The following is an 18,718-nucleotide window of genomic DNA, read 5'->3' as shown; positions in this document are numbered from 1 at the left end:
ACCTAAACATTTAAATGTAAAGTATTCCCTCTGGATACAGCCAACAAACCACAAGCACAGGGCTTTTAGTAATAGGAATTATTAAAATATATCACTGAGGTGCAGAGGCTATACCTTATTGCTCTTCGTACAGAAGCATCAACTTTAACATTAAGACATTTGGTGAATAGTGTGGATAGGTGGGTGGATGGATGGGGAATGAAATGATTGGCACCACTATTATCAAAGAGTAACTTTGAAAAGGAGTCATTAAATCATTTATGTACATATAAAGGACTAGAATATATAAAGATAGTTCGGAATCAGAAGACTCAGAATATATGAGTTTCTATAAATCAACCCCTAAATAAAGGTTGTATATAGTGGTATTCAAAACTTGCATTTATGAGATCATACCTTTTGGAATAATTAAATTAGTGTTAAGTTCTTTGTCTCTTCACAAAATTCCATCTGATATTCTTTAGACATCTTAAATTAGCAGTGAGAGTTTACGTCAAATTAATCAGTATTGTGTTGCTTGAAATAAAGTAATTCAAACTATTACCTTAAGATTAGAGAATGAATTAGAAATCAAGTACAAGGTCCCTTTCTTTCTATGGGAACTTTTAGGGAATAAAAAACCTTGGCTAATATTAGTATCAAGCCATCTGAGGGTTGATCTTGATTGATTCTAATTATGTACTTTTGAGCTGTAAGACAAGAGTTCTTTGTAGCTAAAAAGATTTTTAAACTTTATTACAAAAAGGAAAAGACCTAAAAAGTAGGAGATCAGAAAAAATACTAACAGAATTTATAATAATAGACAAGACTAAATGAAAAGAGAAGCAACTTTATTTCAGTAAGCTAAAACATATCTGAAAAAATTGGTTTTAAAAGTTATTTTATGTTCTGTTTAAAGCTACATCATAATGTTATAATTGAAAAGAGTTCTGTATTCCCTTAAAGAAGAGATTGGAAATAAATGGGTACATGAACTAAAAGCTTGCCCGAATTGCAACGAAGTACTATGGTTTGAATGTCCCCTCCAAAACTCAAGATGAAATTTAAGTGACACTGTGCTGATATTAAGAGGAGCAGCCTTTAAGCGGTGATTAGGTCATGAGGGTTTGACCTTCATGAATGGACTAATGTCATTATCACAGTGGGAGTGGGTTAGTTATAGCAGGAGTGGGCTCAAAGGATAAGTTCAGCTTCCATCTCCTCTCTGTCATGAACGCTCTCTTGCCTTTGTGCTTTCCACCATTGGATGACACAGCAGGAAGACCCTCATCAGATACAGGCCCTTGATTTGAACTTCCCCGCCTCTGGAACTGTGAGCCCAGCCTCCAAAAGTGTGAGCCAAATAAATCTCTCTTCCTTATAAATGACTCAGTCCCTGACATTCTGTTACAGCAGCAAAAGACAGACTAAAACACCAAGGGAGAAAAGTTGGGGTTACAGAAGTGGATGACTGGGCAAAGACAACCTGAGATTTGGGATAACAATGCGCAGTTCACAGCTCAGCCATAACCTTTTGGGAAATGATTTCTCAAAACACAGAGAACAGGAACTCTAAGTTTAAGGATAAGCAGAGGATCTCCCTTGAATGTAAATTTCATGTAAACAGGGACTGTGTTTTTTTCTATACCAGGACCTCTCTGGTGTCTTAGATCCTAGAAGAACTCAGAGGGGATGAAGGCGTGAGGAGTCAGAGGCCCGAGGAGTCAGAGCCTCTAGAGAAGAAAGGAAAATATGAGAGGCCAAAGGCAAAGCCTCTAAACACTTTATCTAAAAAATGGCACTCTTTTTTATCGATTCAGTTTTGGGACTGGAAAATACAGAAGACTTCTTGGTTTATACATGGTCTTGTAAAAGAATCAGTACTTACAACTCTATTGCAATTCCAAGTATTGAAGCAATCGCAGAATTACCTCTGGACTACAAATTTACAAGATTCTCTTCAAGCAATTCAAAAATAACTGGCTACTATCCAAACCTTCCATTGGTCTTATCAAATGATCAGACACTGATAACCAAATAAGTTATCTTTACTGAAAAGTGAAGTGAAGACCCATATATGCAGCTAAAAAAAAAAAAAGTTAATTTTCAAAAAAATACTGTAAAAAGCTTTAAGAAACGAGTTTTTAATGAAAATTGACCAAGAAGTTGATATTTGTCCATAGGTCTCCTTTTATAAGCCATCTTGATGTTTAACAACTCTTATTATATTAAAATCTGAGTATCCTAGAACTTAAAAGAACCTTATTGAAATTTTCTATACGAATAGTTTTGAGATTAGAAGTCACCTGGGGACACACACCACACACACACATTCACTCTTACACAAATGCCTAGTCCAGCAGTTCTCAAAGTGTGGTCAATAGACTAATAGCATAACATTACCTGAGAACTTGATAATGCACATTTGCAGGCCCCACCCAAAACCTGCTGAATCAGAAGCTCTGAAAGTGGGGCCTACCAATCTGTGGCTTAACAAGCCCATCAGGTGATTCTGATTTACACTATAGGTTGAGCCCATATCCTCCAGAGACTGGCTTAATTGGCCTGGGTAAATATAACTGAGCATTGATATCTTTTATATGTCCTAGGAAAGTGCAGCCAGAATTGAAAACAACTGATCTATACCAATTCTTTCAATTAATAGCCTCACTGAGTCCAGTGAGATTAAGTGATTTTTCCAAGCTATTAGGTTTTATGCTATTCCTGTGTTCTCCCAAACAACAAAATAAAGAGACATGATTTCTTCCCTGATCATACAGCAAGTATGGAACAGAGATGGTCTAGAAGTCAACTATCTCAATCTCCATTGTTACCCATTAGGTTTTTTTCTCTCTAATAATGTTAAAGGCTATTTAATTTATTTCATCAACTTTAACCCTTACATTCTCAACTGGGAACAAAAATTGGTTCTTGGGGTGAAAAAAATCTTAGATATGGATTGTGACCTTCCAAAATCAGCCTACCCAACAAAATCTTTTGTATTAATTTCTCTCATTAGGAAGAAATTTATAGTTAAAGCTATTTAATTTAATTTGAATTTAATTTTTGTAATTGAAAAGGAGGGTAATGATAAAAAGGTTGAGAAAAAATGCTTTAAAGGGTTTTACAGGCATACTACAATCCAGGATTGCTGTGCTCTATGTGCTATGTATAGTCCTATTAGTAGCTATTTGTTGCAAGATACTTGGAGCCAAATAATGTTTACAGTATAGGTTCCTGGCTACTCTTTATGCTGTAATTTCACTCTGTCTATCATGGGCAGTATTAGAAAATACACTGGGTTTTCACACACTATCAGTATTTTACCTGGATTGTAGTGGAGAATTTAGCATATTGATGCATGCAATGGGAAAAAAAAGAATTTTGTTAAAATTTGTAAATGTTCATAAAAATCCCAGATATACAGTGGGATGAGTATCTCTGGGTAGGTAAAAAAAATTACGGAAAATTTTCCCTCACAGTCAGTAGCTTTGTTTGATATTTACCAATAAGTATATGATGACATACTTGAAATGTATTTGCAGAATGTCATTGGAATATTATAATGAGAATACGTAATCAAGTTTAGGACTAAATGAAAGATGCTGTCTCATGTATGCTTTAAATAGAGAATTGATTTTTTTTCAAAATAAAGTTATTTTTCCTTAAAAAATAAAATAAACTGCCAGGCATATAGTAAGTAAATGAAAGTAAGAGAGGGAAGGAGGGATGAAAACTCAGGTTTGCTTAAACTACACTGTGCCTCTCATGTTCCTCTACCGTAAATAAGAGGACTGGACTCTTATTTCTTAGGGTTCTTTCAGTCCAGTAATTGACAATTCTAAATTATACATGAATATACACTAAATAAAGACTTTTCCTGATCAATGGAATATGACAGCAGAGGAAAAGGACATTTTCAAGGACTTAAAAAAAAAAAAAGCTGCCCTGAAATATAGAGCAATCTCTTACACACCCATAAGAGATTTTGATTTCAAGAAAAGACTCAGGATAAGTTAGAGACTTAGGTTTATGTTCGAACACTGGCCAAAAACTATTAAATAAACTCTTAGGAAGGGAATTCTTGGATGCAAGGCTAAGGTTAAACTATGCTTAGACTATTCGATAATTATGACTGATGATGTTCAGTAAGATAAATAATTACGGGTAGGTACCACACTTCTTTAAATATTGCTCTAAATCTACAAATGCATAATCATTAGCCCTAACTGTAATAATGTAGATTTATATTAGTATGAATTAATGTTAATTATATATATTTTATATAATATTTATAGTAACGTAATTTTAAAACATTACTCTTGGCAATTGGTAAAGAAGGTTGCTTTTGACAGAATATACATAATTAAATAAAATTATATACTGCCCTTCAGCACTTTACTTTTCCTAAATTACTTTCATTTCCACTATTTCATTTGATTGTCAGAACAATTCTGTGTAGAAATGGAACTACTTGCTACAGTTTGAATGTCTATGTGTCACCAAAATTTACAGGTTGAAATCCTAACTCCCATAGTGATGGTATTGGGAGGTGGGTCTTTGGAAGGTGATTAGGGCATGAGTGAGGAGCTGTCATCAATGGGATCAGTATCATATAAAAGACTACCTTCCACTATGGGAGGACACAGTGAGATGACATCATCCATGAACCAGACAGTGGGCCCTTGGCAGACACCAAATCTACTAGTGCACTGATCTTGAACTTCTCCGCCTTCAGAACTGTAAGAAATAAATTTCTATTGTTTATAAGCCACCCAGTTTATAGTATTTTGTTACTGCAGCCCAAAGGAACTAAGATACTACTTATTTCCATACACTGAAGCTTGGGTAAGTCAAATGACTTTTTCAGGGTCACCCAGGTCATCAGTGACAGAGCCAGCCTTTAAATAAAAGTATTCTCATTCTAGCTCAGTGCCTTTTCTACTACCAGTACCTCACTCACACCTCTAACCCAAATTATCACACCTATGAGGAGCCAACAACCCTCCTTACCTGCCTCCAGTGCACCCTAAAACCCATGGCCACACACAATTCACAGTAGATTATCTACATTACAGATCTTGTGTCTCACATTAAAAAATGTGACACTGGACTTTCAAACCTTTACTCACAAAGCAACAGCAAATGTCACAACCTATAAAGAAAATATGAAGAATTCATGTTTTTGGGTTTTTTTGTTTGTTTTTGAGATGGAGTCTCACTGTGTCGCCAGGCTGGAGTGCAGTGGCGTGATCTTGGCTCACTGCAACCTCTGCCTCCTGGGTTCCAGCAATTCTCCTGCTTCAGCCTCCCAAATAGCTGGGACTACAGGCGCACGTCACCACACCCAGCTAATTTTTGTATTTTTAGTAGGGGCGGGGTTTCACCATGTTGGCCAGGAAGGTCTTGATCTCTTGACCTCATGATCCGCCTGCCTTAGCCTCCCAAAGTGCTAGGATTACAGGTGTGAGCCACCACGCCCAGCCAGAAAATTCATCTTTTAAGCTTTTATTTCTTCCCTCGAGTTTTTCTTTTCTGTAAGGGTAATGTCAAACATGATGGCAACTAACTTACTTATTAATACATGATGGCTACCCTGGAAGGAATCAAGGAATCCTCCAGCCCTGTGACTTCAGCAATGACCTACAAAGAATGCTTACCCCAAACCCAGCACACCTTTCTGTACTGTGTCATGTTCTAGAGGAAGCAGATAACTGGAGGGTTTTTTGTATAAATTCTGTGAATCAACTTATTCAGCTAATCTATACCGAGTACTAATTTAGCAGAAAGCTAGCATTATACACTAAAATATTAGTTCTTGAGAATAATATGTTAATATTCATTTCTTTATTGTCCATTTTTGGAAGGCAGCTAAAGAAAAAGATAGGGTGAAAAAGGTGGCTTCATATTCTTTCATAAACTAAGCTAGGAAACTGACATAATAGAGCAAAAAAGAGGGAACAGACTCAAGTAAAAACAAAAACAAAAATGTGAGGATATATCTCCAGTGCTTAGAATGGTGCTAGGACATAAAAGTTATTCGGTAAGTAGGTTTTAAATGGATGATGAATATATTTGGAGTCAGACAGACCTAAGACCCACTGCTCCACTTGTGCAATGGATTGCATCCTGCCACTGTTTGAGCTGGTATCCTCTCTCCTGCATCACTGATTCTTCCCACTTCACAGAATCATTCTTACCAGCATAGAACATGCTGAATAATAAAATAATATTAATATATTATTTCATAATTCACTACTCAGCAATGAGTTATAAAACCACTACTTGACCCTACATTCTTTCTTCAGCTACTATCTGATTTTTCTGTTACCTTTGTTGTAAAAGTCCTTAAAATGGTTTTCTGTACTTTTGTTCATATTCTCTCTTGAATCTACTCCAATCATGCTTCCAACTCCATCATGCCACTGTAACACCTCTTGTCCAAGGTCAACAAGATGGTCTCGAGATGATTAATTTTCTGTCCTCATCTTATTTAACCTCTCAGCAATATTTGATCCTTGTGATCACGCCCTCCTTCATAACACACTTTCCTCCTTTGGCATCCTGGACTCTGTTCTCTCTTGGTTCTTCTAGCCTTCTGGCTCTTCCTTCTCAGTTTCCTCATTTTCCCAACCTCTGAAGTTGTGGCTCCTCAGGGCTCATTTCTTAGAATATTTTTTTTCCCTTGGTACAATCACATACAATCTCTCCCTATAGGTGATCTCATCCAATCCCAGGGCTGATATACAGGCTGACAATTTTGATCTCTAATCCTGATCTTTCTTCTAACTCATCTCTAATCCTGATCTTTCTTCTAACTTCAGATTTATATATCCAACAGCTTAAACATCTATAAGCTTAACATGTCAAACATCGAGCTCTTACATTTCCTTCCCAGACTGCTCCTCCAGCAGTTTTCTTATCTCTCTAAAAGGTACTTCCATTTTCTATTTGCTTTGTCCAAAAATCTTTGACTTCTGACATCTTTGGCTCTTCTTCTCTCATTCCACACATCTAATCCATCAGCAAATTTTGTTGATTCTTTCCAAATGTCTTCAGAAAGCAGTTACTCTTCATCATCTCTCCTGCTATACCCTTTTCCAATTCACCACCACTTGGGTTACTGAAATAGTGCTGAACTCCTCTATATTCTACTCTTCATAATTTACCTATATTATTACATAATATTAGATCACAGCACTATAGATACCTACATCTTCCATGGCTTCCTCTCTCATTGAGTAAAATCCAAAGTCCTTAAGAAAGAATATTCAAGGACCTAAATGATCTGAATCCCTTTCTCCCACCCGCCACCCCAGCTTCATCTCCTATCTACCATATTTGGCTAAATTTTTTCAAACATATTGGTCTCCCAGCTATTCCTCAAATATGCCCCAAACATTGCAGGCTCTGTGGCCTTTGTGCTCTCTGCCTCCTTTCCCTAAATGTTCTACTTTCAAGAGGGGTTGCTAAGTGCTTACTACATCACTCCAGGTCTCTGTTCAAAAATCACCCAATTTGTGATACTTTCCTGACCTTCTCCATATAAAATAGCACCTTGGCCTATAATCCCACATCCTCCTGTATCTTCTTGACCTTGCTTTATTTTTGTTATTACCGTAGGACATATATATTTATTGCCTATTTGTCTAGTGTCCATCTCTCACAATCAGGTAAGAACCTGGTTTTGTTCATTATTGAGTCACCAGTGACCAGAATATGCTGGTTCATATTAGGCACTCAATAAATACTTGCTGAATAAATGAACCAATTGTATTACCATCATTATCAGTATTATCTTCATTACCTAAAGGCTTAGGTCTCAAGGACTGAAGCAGAGCAACTGCCTGCAGTGCTCTAAGATAGAGCAAAACACAACCTAAATCCAGGTTACCTTGCTGGGAGGGAGGCCAAAATACAGCCAGGACAGACTGAGAGGCTGATACATACTTTATGTGCTAAGGCCAGAAGAGGAAAATCATTTCATACCTCAAGATGTGGATTTCGGTAAACACTATTAGCATATGGCCATAAGCAGCTTGTATTCCTTACAGAGCACATCTATTAGAAGAGCTTTGTGTTATTCTGTTTCATCCCTAATACTGTAACCCACAAAAAGGGACTACTGTATGAATAATTAATAGAAGTAAAAGTTAGAAAAAGTTAGGAGAGAATAGGATTTTCTTAAATCGGTCATTTTAAATCTTCTATTATTATTATTATCTTGCATATCATACATCAACAGTGTTTTCCTTTTTCTTATCTTGGAGCTATTTCTCTATCATATTCCTGCTTCGAGTAGAAAGAAAAAAAATACACCCAAATGGTAATTTTGATAATCTAGTCACAAGGGTTCAAAAAGCAAATAAATAAATTTCAGGGTCTTATCATTTTGTATTAAAGCAACTTATTACATAAATGACATTTTCCTTTAGGAGATGTGTGCATTCGTGTTTGTCATTTTTAAAATGGAAATAGAATCATAGTGTCACCTTAAAATGACCAGATTTAGAATGAGAACTTTCATTACATGGGAGGAGTGAAAAATACAATAAAATAAGATGATATGTATATACAAGAAAATGGGCATAAAGAGATATTAAAGAAATCAATGGAAAGTGAACAAGGCACAAATTTAATCACACAAGGATCTAAGGATTAATGTGTCAGTTGATAACATTTCAGCATATCTTTTGGCTGATCAGAGTAAAAGTATACATTTGCATAGGAACAGAAATTTGAGCAGTATAAAAATGTAATCAAAGAAAAGGCTTGGCTCAGAAAAGTAAAACACATAAAATGATTTTAAATAGTATGGTCTTCATCTGCATTACTTTTTTTTTTTTTTACTACAAGTCCTTATTTTTCACTTTTATTAAACACAAACAAGATAGTTTGTAATTCCTTATGACTCGATGCCTTTTGAATTTAAGATTAATTTGTAGTTTAAAAATTTTCTCAGGTCGGGTAAGGTGGCTCATGCCTGTAATCCCAGCACTTTGGGAGGCCGAGGAAGACAGATCACCTGAGGTCAGGAGTTCGAGACCAGCCTGACCAACATGGTGAAATCCCGTCTCTAGTAAAAATACAAAAATTAGCCGGGCATGGTGGCATGCGCCTGTAGTCCCAGCTACTTGGGAGGCTGAGGCAGGAGAATCTCTTGGACCCAGGAGGTGAAGGTTGCAGTGAGCTGAGATCATGCCACTGCACTCCAGCCTGGGCAACAGAGCGAGACTCCATCTAAAAAAAAAAATACAAAATACAAAATTAGCTGGGGGTGGTTGCAGGTGCCTGTAGTCCCAGCTACTTGGGAGGCTGAGGCAGGAGAATCACTTGAACCTGGGAGGCAGAGGTTGCAGTGAGCTGTGATCATGCCACTGCACTCCAACCTGGGTGACAGAGCAAGACTCCATCTTAAAAAAAAAAAACAAAGTTAGTTGGGTGTGATGGCAGGCACCTGTAGTCCCAGCTACTTGGGAGACTGAGGCAGGAGAATCGCTTGAACCCAGGAAGCAGAGGCTGCAGTGAGCCGAGATCATGCCATTGTACTCCAGCCTGGGCAACAAGAGTGAAACTTGGTAAAACAAACAAACAAACAAACAAAAAACAAAAAAAACCCAAAACCTCAATATATTATGATTCTAAAACCTATTAGAAATTTAGATAAACTTCATAATAAGCTAAAAGCAATATTATACTTCAGATACTGGTAGTGTTTGAAAAAAATTTAGTTAAATGTGAAGATAATACAAATGGAAACAATGTATGCACTTTAAATGTCTACTGGCAACTAAAAGCAGACGGTGGTGGGGGGGGGAATCCTGTGATAATTGGTTCAACTCTGATACTTATCTATAATTGTATTTCAAATATCTACCTCACTAGAATTTGAATTAAGCGACTCACTATAGGTTATCCACTTACCTTACAATGGTCATACTGGAGCTGTAAGGCTGGAACATCTCCTCCAATAGGCATTTGTTTCTTAAGCTCTTCATCTTTCATATTCAGCCATTTGATCAGTTCTTCTAAGGACATCAGCAACCTGTTCCACTTCTCAGCGCTGGCCTCCAAATGGGCCCTGTTGAGAGATAATAATAATAATAATAACCACATTTAGAAATGCAAATTACATTCACAAAATTATCTACCTTCCTTTAGCATAATAATCTTATCTGACCAAGTAATGTTTACTTCCACAAAAGAGACTGACTCCTTGTAAATACATATATATATGTATTTATAATATACTATATATACATATATATGTATGATATACATATATACAATACATATATTACATAAGTATATATATTTATACATATGTATACACACATATATCCATTTCCTGTAAGAAACAGCTATTTTGAATAGGCTATAATATTCAGAGGATTTATTGGTAATAACTATCAAAATTTAAAACACAGACCTATACAAAACGAAGGCTTTCAAGAAGGATGTCCGTGATAGAATGTACAATTATAAACCAAGTTTTGATAGTTTATGTATAGTATATACGCACATCCAAATATATTTTTTTCTCATTTTATCTCTATACATGGAGAGAGAGAGAGGAAAATAACCACTAAGAGCACAGTAAATACCTAATTTTAGCTATTTTTACGCCATTTAAGGATTTACAACAGACTCATAGTATTTTTCTTTCCAAAAAAAAAAAAAAAAAAAAAAAAAAACCACTGACTAATTATTATTATTATTTTTTTTTTTGAGACAGAGTATTGCTCTGTCACCCAGGCTGGAGTGCAGTGGCGCAATCTCGGCTCACTGCGACCTCTGCCTCCTGGGTTCAAACTATTCTGCTGCCTCAGCCTCCTGAATACAGCTGGAATTACAGGCATGTGCCACCATGCCCGGTTAATTTTCGTATTTTTAGTAGAGACGGGATTTCACCATGTTGTTCAGCCTGGTCTGAAACTCCTGACCTCATGATCCACCGGCCAGGGACTCCCAAAGTGCTGGGATTACAGGTGTGAGCCACCGCGCCTGGTCTTGATTAACTTTTTTAGGAATGGAAATTACTGATGTGTTACTTTCTCTTGTAACCAAAAACTCCTTCTGTTGTAACCAAAAAGCAGAACAATAGCAATGTTTACTTCAAAAAGTTGGAAAATAATCAGGCATTGCTTCGACAGGATACTATTTGGCTTAAGGTTGACCAATGTCTAGTGACAAATGACCAGTGTGAATAGAGAACAGTTGGGCGAAAGTCACTGCAGTACTTTATACTCTCATTTAAAGGTGAGGTCTTTGTTTCAATAATAATTTCTGCATTTAACACAGAAATGCACCTTCAGATTCTTAGATTATGAACTCCATAATCACAGATATGTTTAGGAAATACATTTTGATATGGTTAAGGTTCCAATAAGAGCAAAGGCCCTTGAGAATAGGAGTATAAATCTATGCACATGTTCCTTTTTTGCTCTTGTTAGGGCCCTGGTGAAAGCCCACTTATCCAGCCTCAGGCCCACTGGTGGGCTGGATTTGAAAATATGGATCAGTCAGAAACAACTCCAGCGACTCAAGGAATCGAACTGGGCTTGACTCAATCCTGCATCATCCCAGAGGGCAGACTGTGAATGCGGGCTTATGCCTTAACTTGGGGAAATGGAATTACTGTGACTGCCCATGATCTTTGAGGTTTAGAGGTGTAACAAGGCACACGTCTGCCTTTCATCAGCATATGCTGATTAAAAAACGCTGTGTGAAATAATAAAAAAAGTTTAAATACAGAACGAAGTTCAAAGCATTTTGTAAATCTCTGAGAACAGTATGATTAGAAAATTTATTTTCTTGTATTTATGATCAGTTCTATTTATTCCACAGGTGCTACAATTGAACTCATTTTACAAAACTGTGGTTAACAAGGTCCTGATTCTGCTTGAGCTCCAGCTTTTCTGTGTTCATATTGATTAACTTTAGGCCAAATATGTAATTACCTTTCCCTGATAACTAATAATTTCACTTGTCACAGAGCAGAACTAAATAATTTCAATTATATTAACTGAAAATTCTCTGTAGTTCTAAGCCATTTTGCAGCAAATAAATTTGACTGAGCTACTGCAATTTCTTTCCAATATTTTTAATTGCAAAACCAGCTAGAAATCAGATGTCCTCAATCAAGAAGCACTTGAGTGTCTCCGTGTGCAAAACATTTATACGTGTTCCCTGCCCTTTTATTTCAGATGATTTGATCCTGCATCTTCAACGTCTGTAGTTTAACTCAATAATCAATAACTAAATCACACATTATATTCCTTTGAAATTGAGTTGCAAACACTTATTGTATTGAAATGCACACAAACATATTTTCCAATGCAGTCTTCTTTGACTGCACAGAAATAATGAAACTGATTACTGAAACTTACAGTATTTAGAATCTGAAAAACTATCTATTAATTATGAGGATGAAGACAATACTTTTTAAAAGAAATGCTGAAGTGGCTTTGAAATCAAAAAGAAAACATTGGTATATGTGTGCTTCTCTGCATCTTTGATTTTTCATAGTAAAAAGCAAGTTGATCTGCCAGAATCTTTGTCTGGCAAATCTGTTCTGGTTATTCTCAAATAGATTATAACTATGTGTTTAGTGGATTACTACCATATGCTCAAATAAATGCATGCTTCTGTAGCAGCCTTCAGTGTTCTAGTTTCATTTTAATTCTTTCATCTTGAAAGATGAAAGCCTTTTCTTGGGCAACAGGTCGAATGCTTTGTAAGAAGAAACTTTAAATTTGCGTTCAGCTTAGTGGTACTTTCTCAATTATCCTATAAGCATTTTAAAACTTAAATTTCTCTAAGACTATTGATAACTAGTGATCAACCAGATTTTCAAAATCTTCACATAAAACATTTCTTTATCAAACATATCTGTGGGCATTCATATTTTTAGACAATTGACTTATTCTAACATCTCAGCTGCTTCAGTTCACTCCTTTAGTACTTTGATATGTACAAAGCAATAAACACTTTTATTGACTGTATTATCAACCTAGGATGATGTCTACTACAGAATATCTTTTACGCAAGTTACTCCTTTTAAAATTGAATCATTTTTTACAACTCTATAAGTATTTTTAAGTGACCAGTTATTCTTAAAAAATGTAATGCAAAAACATGTTAGAAGGTAAAGACCCATAAAAATGGTACTTCATCATTTAAGCACAGTAGAAAGGAATTATGGAAGTAACTACAAACCAGTATCTGTTTTAAATCAGCAAAAGCCTCCAACTTTCAAACAAACTGTATCTTCAAGCAAGTTATTATTCCTTCTCCCAGTGTACAGATATAAAAGGAAATAGTGTGAGTAAGTGTGAGAAGGAGCATTGGTTAAAATAAAATACAGTTTTTCATTTACTCAGCACAAGTAAACATTTACGGAGCACCCACTCTGGCAGATATCCCATCCTCTGTTGTGTAATGACTACCCAGAATCAAATGTCCAATTTGGTATTCTTACTACAAAAGTATATATATATATTTTGGTTTATGGTAAAATCTCCAAACTATAAATTGGGTTATAATGAAAGAAAATACCTTTATTAGTCCAAGAACAACAAGTAACTTTAAAAGATTGTTCCTACTCCCAGGAAAGGAATTAAGACATATTAGGAGAAAAGAGTCAAGTCTTCAGAATTCAGTCTGACGGTGCTGAAAAGAACACCAAAGCCGTGATTCCAATACAGTAGACATCAGCAGCATGTGGCTATTTAAATTTTAATTTAGGATAAATAAAATGAGTAAATTTTGAAATTCAGATTATCAGTTGCACTGGTCACATTTCAAGTGCTCATTAGGCCACATATGGCTAGCAGCAATTGTATTAACCAGTGTAGATATAGATAATTTCTATCATTGGAGAAAGTTCTATTAGAATGTGCTACACTAGAGAAACCAGAAAAAAAAGAGAGCAGTTCCTCTATTAGATTTGGAAAAAAAAAAAATTTAGTAGTTTCACAATATGGTTAGGAAAAGCAACTATCTAAGGCTAAACATAGTGTCAATGACACTGTAAAATGTGGTAACATTAGATTTAAATGATGATGTTAAAGGTTAATCTTCTCTACGGGCTTTTAAAAAGGTGCCCTGAATTTTTAATAGACTCATAAAAGAAAGGGAAGATAGAATTTTATCTTTGAACTCTGTTTTCATTAGATTTGACAATTTTACTGGCCTTTGAAACCATGTTAATAAAGATCTATATTAAACATCATTATGCTGATAAATGGATATTTAATTAAGACAATCTCAAATTAAATAAGTTTAACATGAAAATTTAAACCCATGTTATCCACAGCAGAGAACTTATTAGTGTATTTCCAATTCATATTTTTCCAGTGAGTAAAAAATATAATAAAAGTTCCTGACAGCCTGTCTTCTAGCTGACGTTTCAAATCATTAGCATTCTTCTCTTGTACAGATTGAAGTGAAATTTATCATTGTATGTATTGTTTTAGATGCTAAAGGAGATGTAGCATGTTGGATTTTAGCATATAAAAAGTTTAGGCTGAGCGCAGTGGCTCACGCCTGTAATCCCAGCACTTTGGGAGGCTGAGGCGGGTGAATCACAAGGTCAGGAGTTCAAGAGCAGCCTGGCCAACACGGTGAAACCCCGTCTCTACTAAAAATACAAAAAATTAGCTGGGCGTAATGGCGGGTGCCTGTAATCCCAGCTACTTGGGAGGCTGAGGCAGGAGAATCGCTTGAACCCAGGAGGCGGAGGTTGCAATGAGCTGAGATCATGCCACTGCACTCCAGCCCTGGCAACACAGTGAGACTCTGTCTCAAAAAAAAAAAAAAAGTTTAATCATGGCTATCCAAAGAGAATGAAAAATAACGTTTAAGATATTAACCTATGGTATTGAGCCACATATTATTACATTGTTCCAATGGCCACACCATGGTCAAAGAAGTTAATACCTGTAAAACACTTAGGGTAGATCTAGCATATAAATATTAGCTGTTATTATGATCTTAGCAGACATTTTCTTTTTAAAAAATTATGATAAATTAGAGCAAATGTTCCCTGCCATGACATTTTATGCTATAAAACTTTAATATCAACTTTAGCGCAATAAAAGCATAATGTGAAATACAGAACCAATGCATATTAAATACTCCAAGTAGCATAAAGAGTATCAATCAGATAGCCTCACTCTCAAAAAAAAAAAAAAGGCCACCTGCAGAGAGAGAATTTGGGGACTAAAAAGGATCAAAATCTTTTAAAATAGGCATGGTGATATCAGAGCAGAACTGTAGGAGACTGAGACACAAAAAAACCATTCAAAAGATCAACTTATCCAGGAGCTGGGTTTTTGAAAAAAAATGAAATAAAATAGATAGACTGCTAGCAAGACTAATAAAGAAGAAAAGAGAGAAGACTCAAATAAATGCAATCAGAAATGACAAGAGGGATATCACCACTGACCCCACAAAAATACAACCATCAGAGAATATTATGAACACCTCTATGCACATAAACTAGAAAATCTAGAAGAAATGGATAAATTCCTGGACACATACATTCTCCCAGGACTGAACCAAGAAAAGATTGAATCCCTGAACAGCCCAATAATGAGCTCTGAAATTGAGTCAGTAATAAATAGCTTACCACCCAAAAAAAAGCCCAGGACCAGATGGATTCATAGCTGAATTCTACCAGATGTACAAAGAAGAGTTGATACCATTCCTAATGAAACTGTTCCACAAAATTGAGGAGGAAGAACTCCTCCCTAACTCATTATTTGAGGCCAGCATCATCCTGATACCAAAACCTGCCAGAAACACAACCACCACCAAAAAAACTTCAGGCTAATATCCTTGATGAACATCAATTCAAAAATCCTCAACAAAACACTGGCAAACCGAATCCAGCAGCACATGAAAAAGCTAATCCACCACAATCAAGTAGGCTTTATCCCTAGGATGCAAGGTTGGTTCAACATATACAAATCAATAAATGTGATTCTTCACATAAACAGAACAAGACAAAAACCACATGATTATCTCAATACATGCAGAAAAGGCTTTCAACAAAATTCAACACCCCTTAGGTTAAAAATTCTCAACGAACTAGATACTGAAGGAACATACCTCTAAATACTAAGAACCATCTACAACACCCCACAGCCAACAACATACTGAATGGGCAAAAGCTGGAAGCATTCCCCTTGAAAACTGGCACAAGACAAGGATGCCCTCTCTCACCACTCCTTCAACACAATATTGGAAGTCCTGCCCAGGGCAATCAGGAAAGAGAAAGAAATAAAGGGCTACCAAATAGAAAGAGGAGAAGTCAAACTATATCTGTTTGCAGGTGACAAGATTCTATATCCAGAAAACTTTATAGTCTCAGCCCAAAAGCTCCTTAAGCTAATAAACAACTTCAGCAGCGTCTCAGGATAAAAAAAATCAATGTGCAAAAATCACTAGCATTCCTACACATCAACAACAGTCAAGCCAAGAGCCAAAGCAGGAACACAATCCCATTCACAACTGCCACAAAAAAATAAATTACTTACGAGTATAGCTAATCAGGGAAGGGAAAGATCTCTACAAGGAGAACTATAAAACACTGCCCAAAAAAATCAGAGACAACACAAACCAATAGAAAAACATTCCATGCTCGTGGATAGGAGGGATCAATATCATTAAAATGACCATACTGCCCAAAGTAACTTATAAATTCAATGCTATTCCTATTAAACTACCAATAATGTTCTTCACAGAACTAGAGAAAACTATTTTAAAATTCATATGAAACCAAAAAAGAGCACAATAGCCAAGGCAATCCTAAGCAAAAAGAATAAAGCTGGAGGCATCATGATACCTGACTTCAGACTATACTACAGGTCTATAGTAACCAAAACAGCACGGTACTGGTATAAAAATAGACACATAGACCAATGGAACAGAACAGAGAACTCAGAAATAAGGCTGTATGGCTACAACTATATGATCTTTGACAAAGCTGACAAAAATAAGCAATGGGGAAATGATTCCCTATTCAATAAACGTTGCTGGGTAACTGGCTAGCCATATGCAAAACATTGAAACTGGACCTCTTCCTTATATCATATAGAAAAATAAACTCAAAATGGATTAAATACTTAAATGTAAAACCCAAAACTATAAAAAAAAAAACCCTGAAAGACAACTGAGGCAATACCATTCTACACATAGGAATGGGCAAAAATTTCATGATGAAGACACCAAAAGCAACTGCAACAAAGGCAAAAATTTGATAAATGGGATCTAATTAAGCTAAAGAGCTTCTGCACAGCAAAAGAAACTATCAACAGAGTAAACATACAGAATGGGAAAAAATTGTTGCAAACTATGCATCTGACAAAGGTCTAATATTGAGCATCTATAAGGAATGTAAACAAATTTATAAGGAAAAAACAAACACCATAAAAAGTGGGCAAAGGACATGAACAGACACTTTTCAAAAGAAGACATATATGCAGCTGACAAGCATATTAAAAAAAAACCTTCAACATCACTGATCATTAGAGAAATGCAAATCAAAACCACAATGAGATACCATCTCACACCAGTCAGAATGGCTATTAGTAAAAAGTCAAAATATAACAGATGCTGACAAGGTTGAGGAGAAAAAGGAACACTTTTACACTGTTGGTTGGAGTGTAAATTAGTTCATCTATTGAGAAGACAGTGTGGCGACTCCTCAAAGACCTAAAAACATAAATACCATTTGACCCAGCAATCCCATTACTGGGTATATACCCAAAGGAATATAAATCATTCTATTATAAAGACACATGCATATGTATGTTCATTGTAGTACTATGCACAATAGCAACAACATGGAATCAACTTAAATGCCCATCAATGATAAGACTGGATTGAAAAACTGTGGTACATATACACCATGGAATACTATGCAGCCATGAAAAAGAACGAGACCATGTTCTTTGCAGGAACAGGGATGAAGCTGGAGGCCATTATCCTGAGAAAACTAATGCAGGAACAGAAAACCAAATACCACATGTCTTCACTTATAAGTGGGAGCTAAATGATGAGAACACTTGGATACATAGAGGAGACCAACAAACACTGGGGCCTATCAGAGGATGGAAGATGGGAGGAGGGAGAGGATCAGGAAAAATAACTATAGGGTACTAGGCTGAATGCCTGAGTGATGAAATAATCTGTGCAACAAACCCCCATGACACTAGTTTACCTATATAACAAACCTGTACATGTACCCTGAACTGAAAGTAAAAGTTAAATAAAATAAACATGAAATCTAAATAATAAATAATTAAAAAATAAAATAAAATAGACAAGGTGGTGAATATAATAGAAAATCATTGCAAATCACAATGCCAATTTTAAGTAGAAAGTATCAAATTATAGCAGGATCAATGTTACCATTTTTCACTTTCTAGTGCAACACTAGGCAGAATCCAAGATTAAAGACAAGGGATAGAGAGAGTATGGACATTGGAATGTCAGAGACTGGGAAATAGAAGAAGTTAAAAGGGGAAAGGAAATTCAAGCTCTTGACACTGCTGAAGTATCTTATGATGGGCTCCAAACTAGGTAGAAGGGATTAATGGAGTCTGAAAAGAGGAAGGGTTTAAGTAACTGAAGATTAGAAGAAAGATGTGAAAATTCAGGAAAAAAAAGGAATAAATGTTTAAAAGCTGGAGAATTTGACAGTTGAAAATACTTTAGGATGTGCATTTAAATA

General features: G+C 35.9%; 1 protein-coding gene across 2 annotated transcripts in view; it reads right to left on the bottom strand.

Annotated features, from left to right (window-relative positions):
* UTRN (utrophin) overlaps positions 1 to 18,718 on the bottom strand; it is a 567,700-nt gene that overhangs the window by 142,888 nt on the left and 406,094 nt on the right. For both annotated transcript variants that reach the window (NM_007124.3, NM_001375323.1), the window contains one exon: positions 9,904 to 10,060. In NM_007124.3, coding sequence (NP_009055.2) covers positions 9,904 to 10,060 — 157 coding nt within the window. The remainder of the gene's footprint in view (positions 1 to 9,903; positions 10,061 to 18,718) is intronic.

This window comes from Homo sapiens, chromosome 6, assembly GCF_000001405.40.
Source record: "Homo sapiens chromosome 6, GRCh38.p14 Primary Assembly".
Taxonomy (NCBI): domain Eukaryota; kingdom Metazoa; phylum Chordata; class Mammalia; order Primates; family Hominidae; genus Homo; species Homo sapiens.
This window is presented reverse-complemented; position numbering and strand designations above follow the sequence as displayed.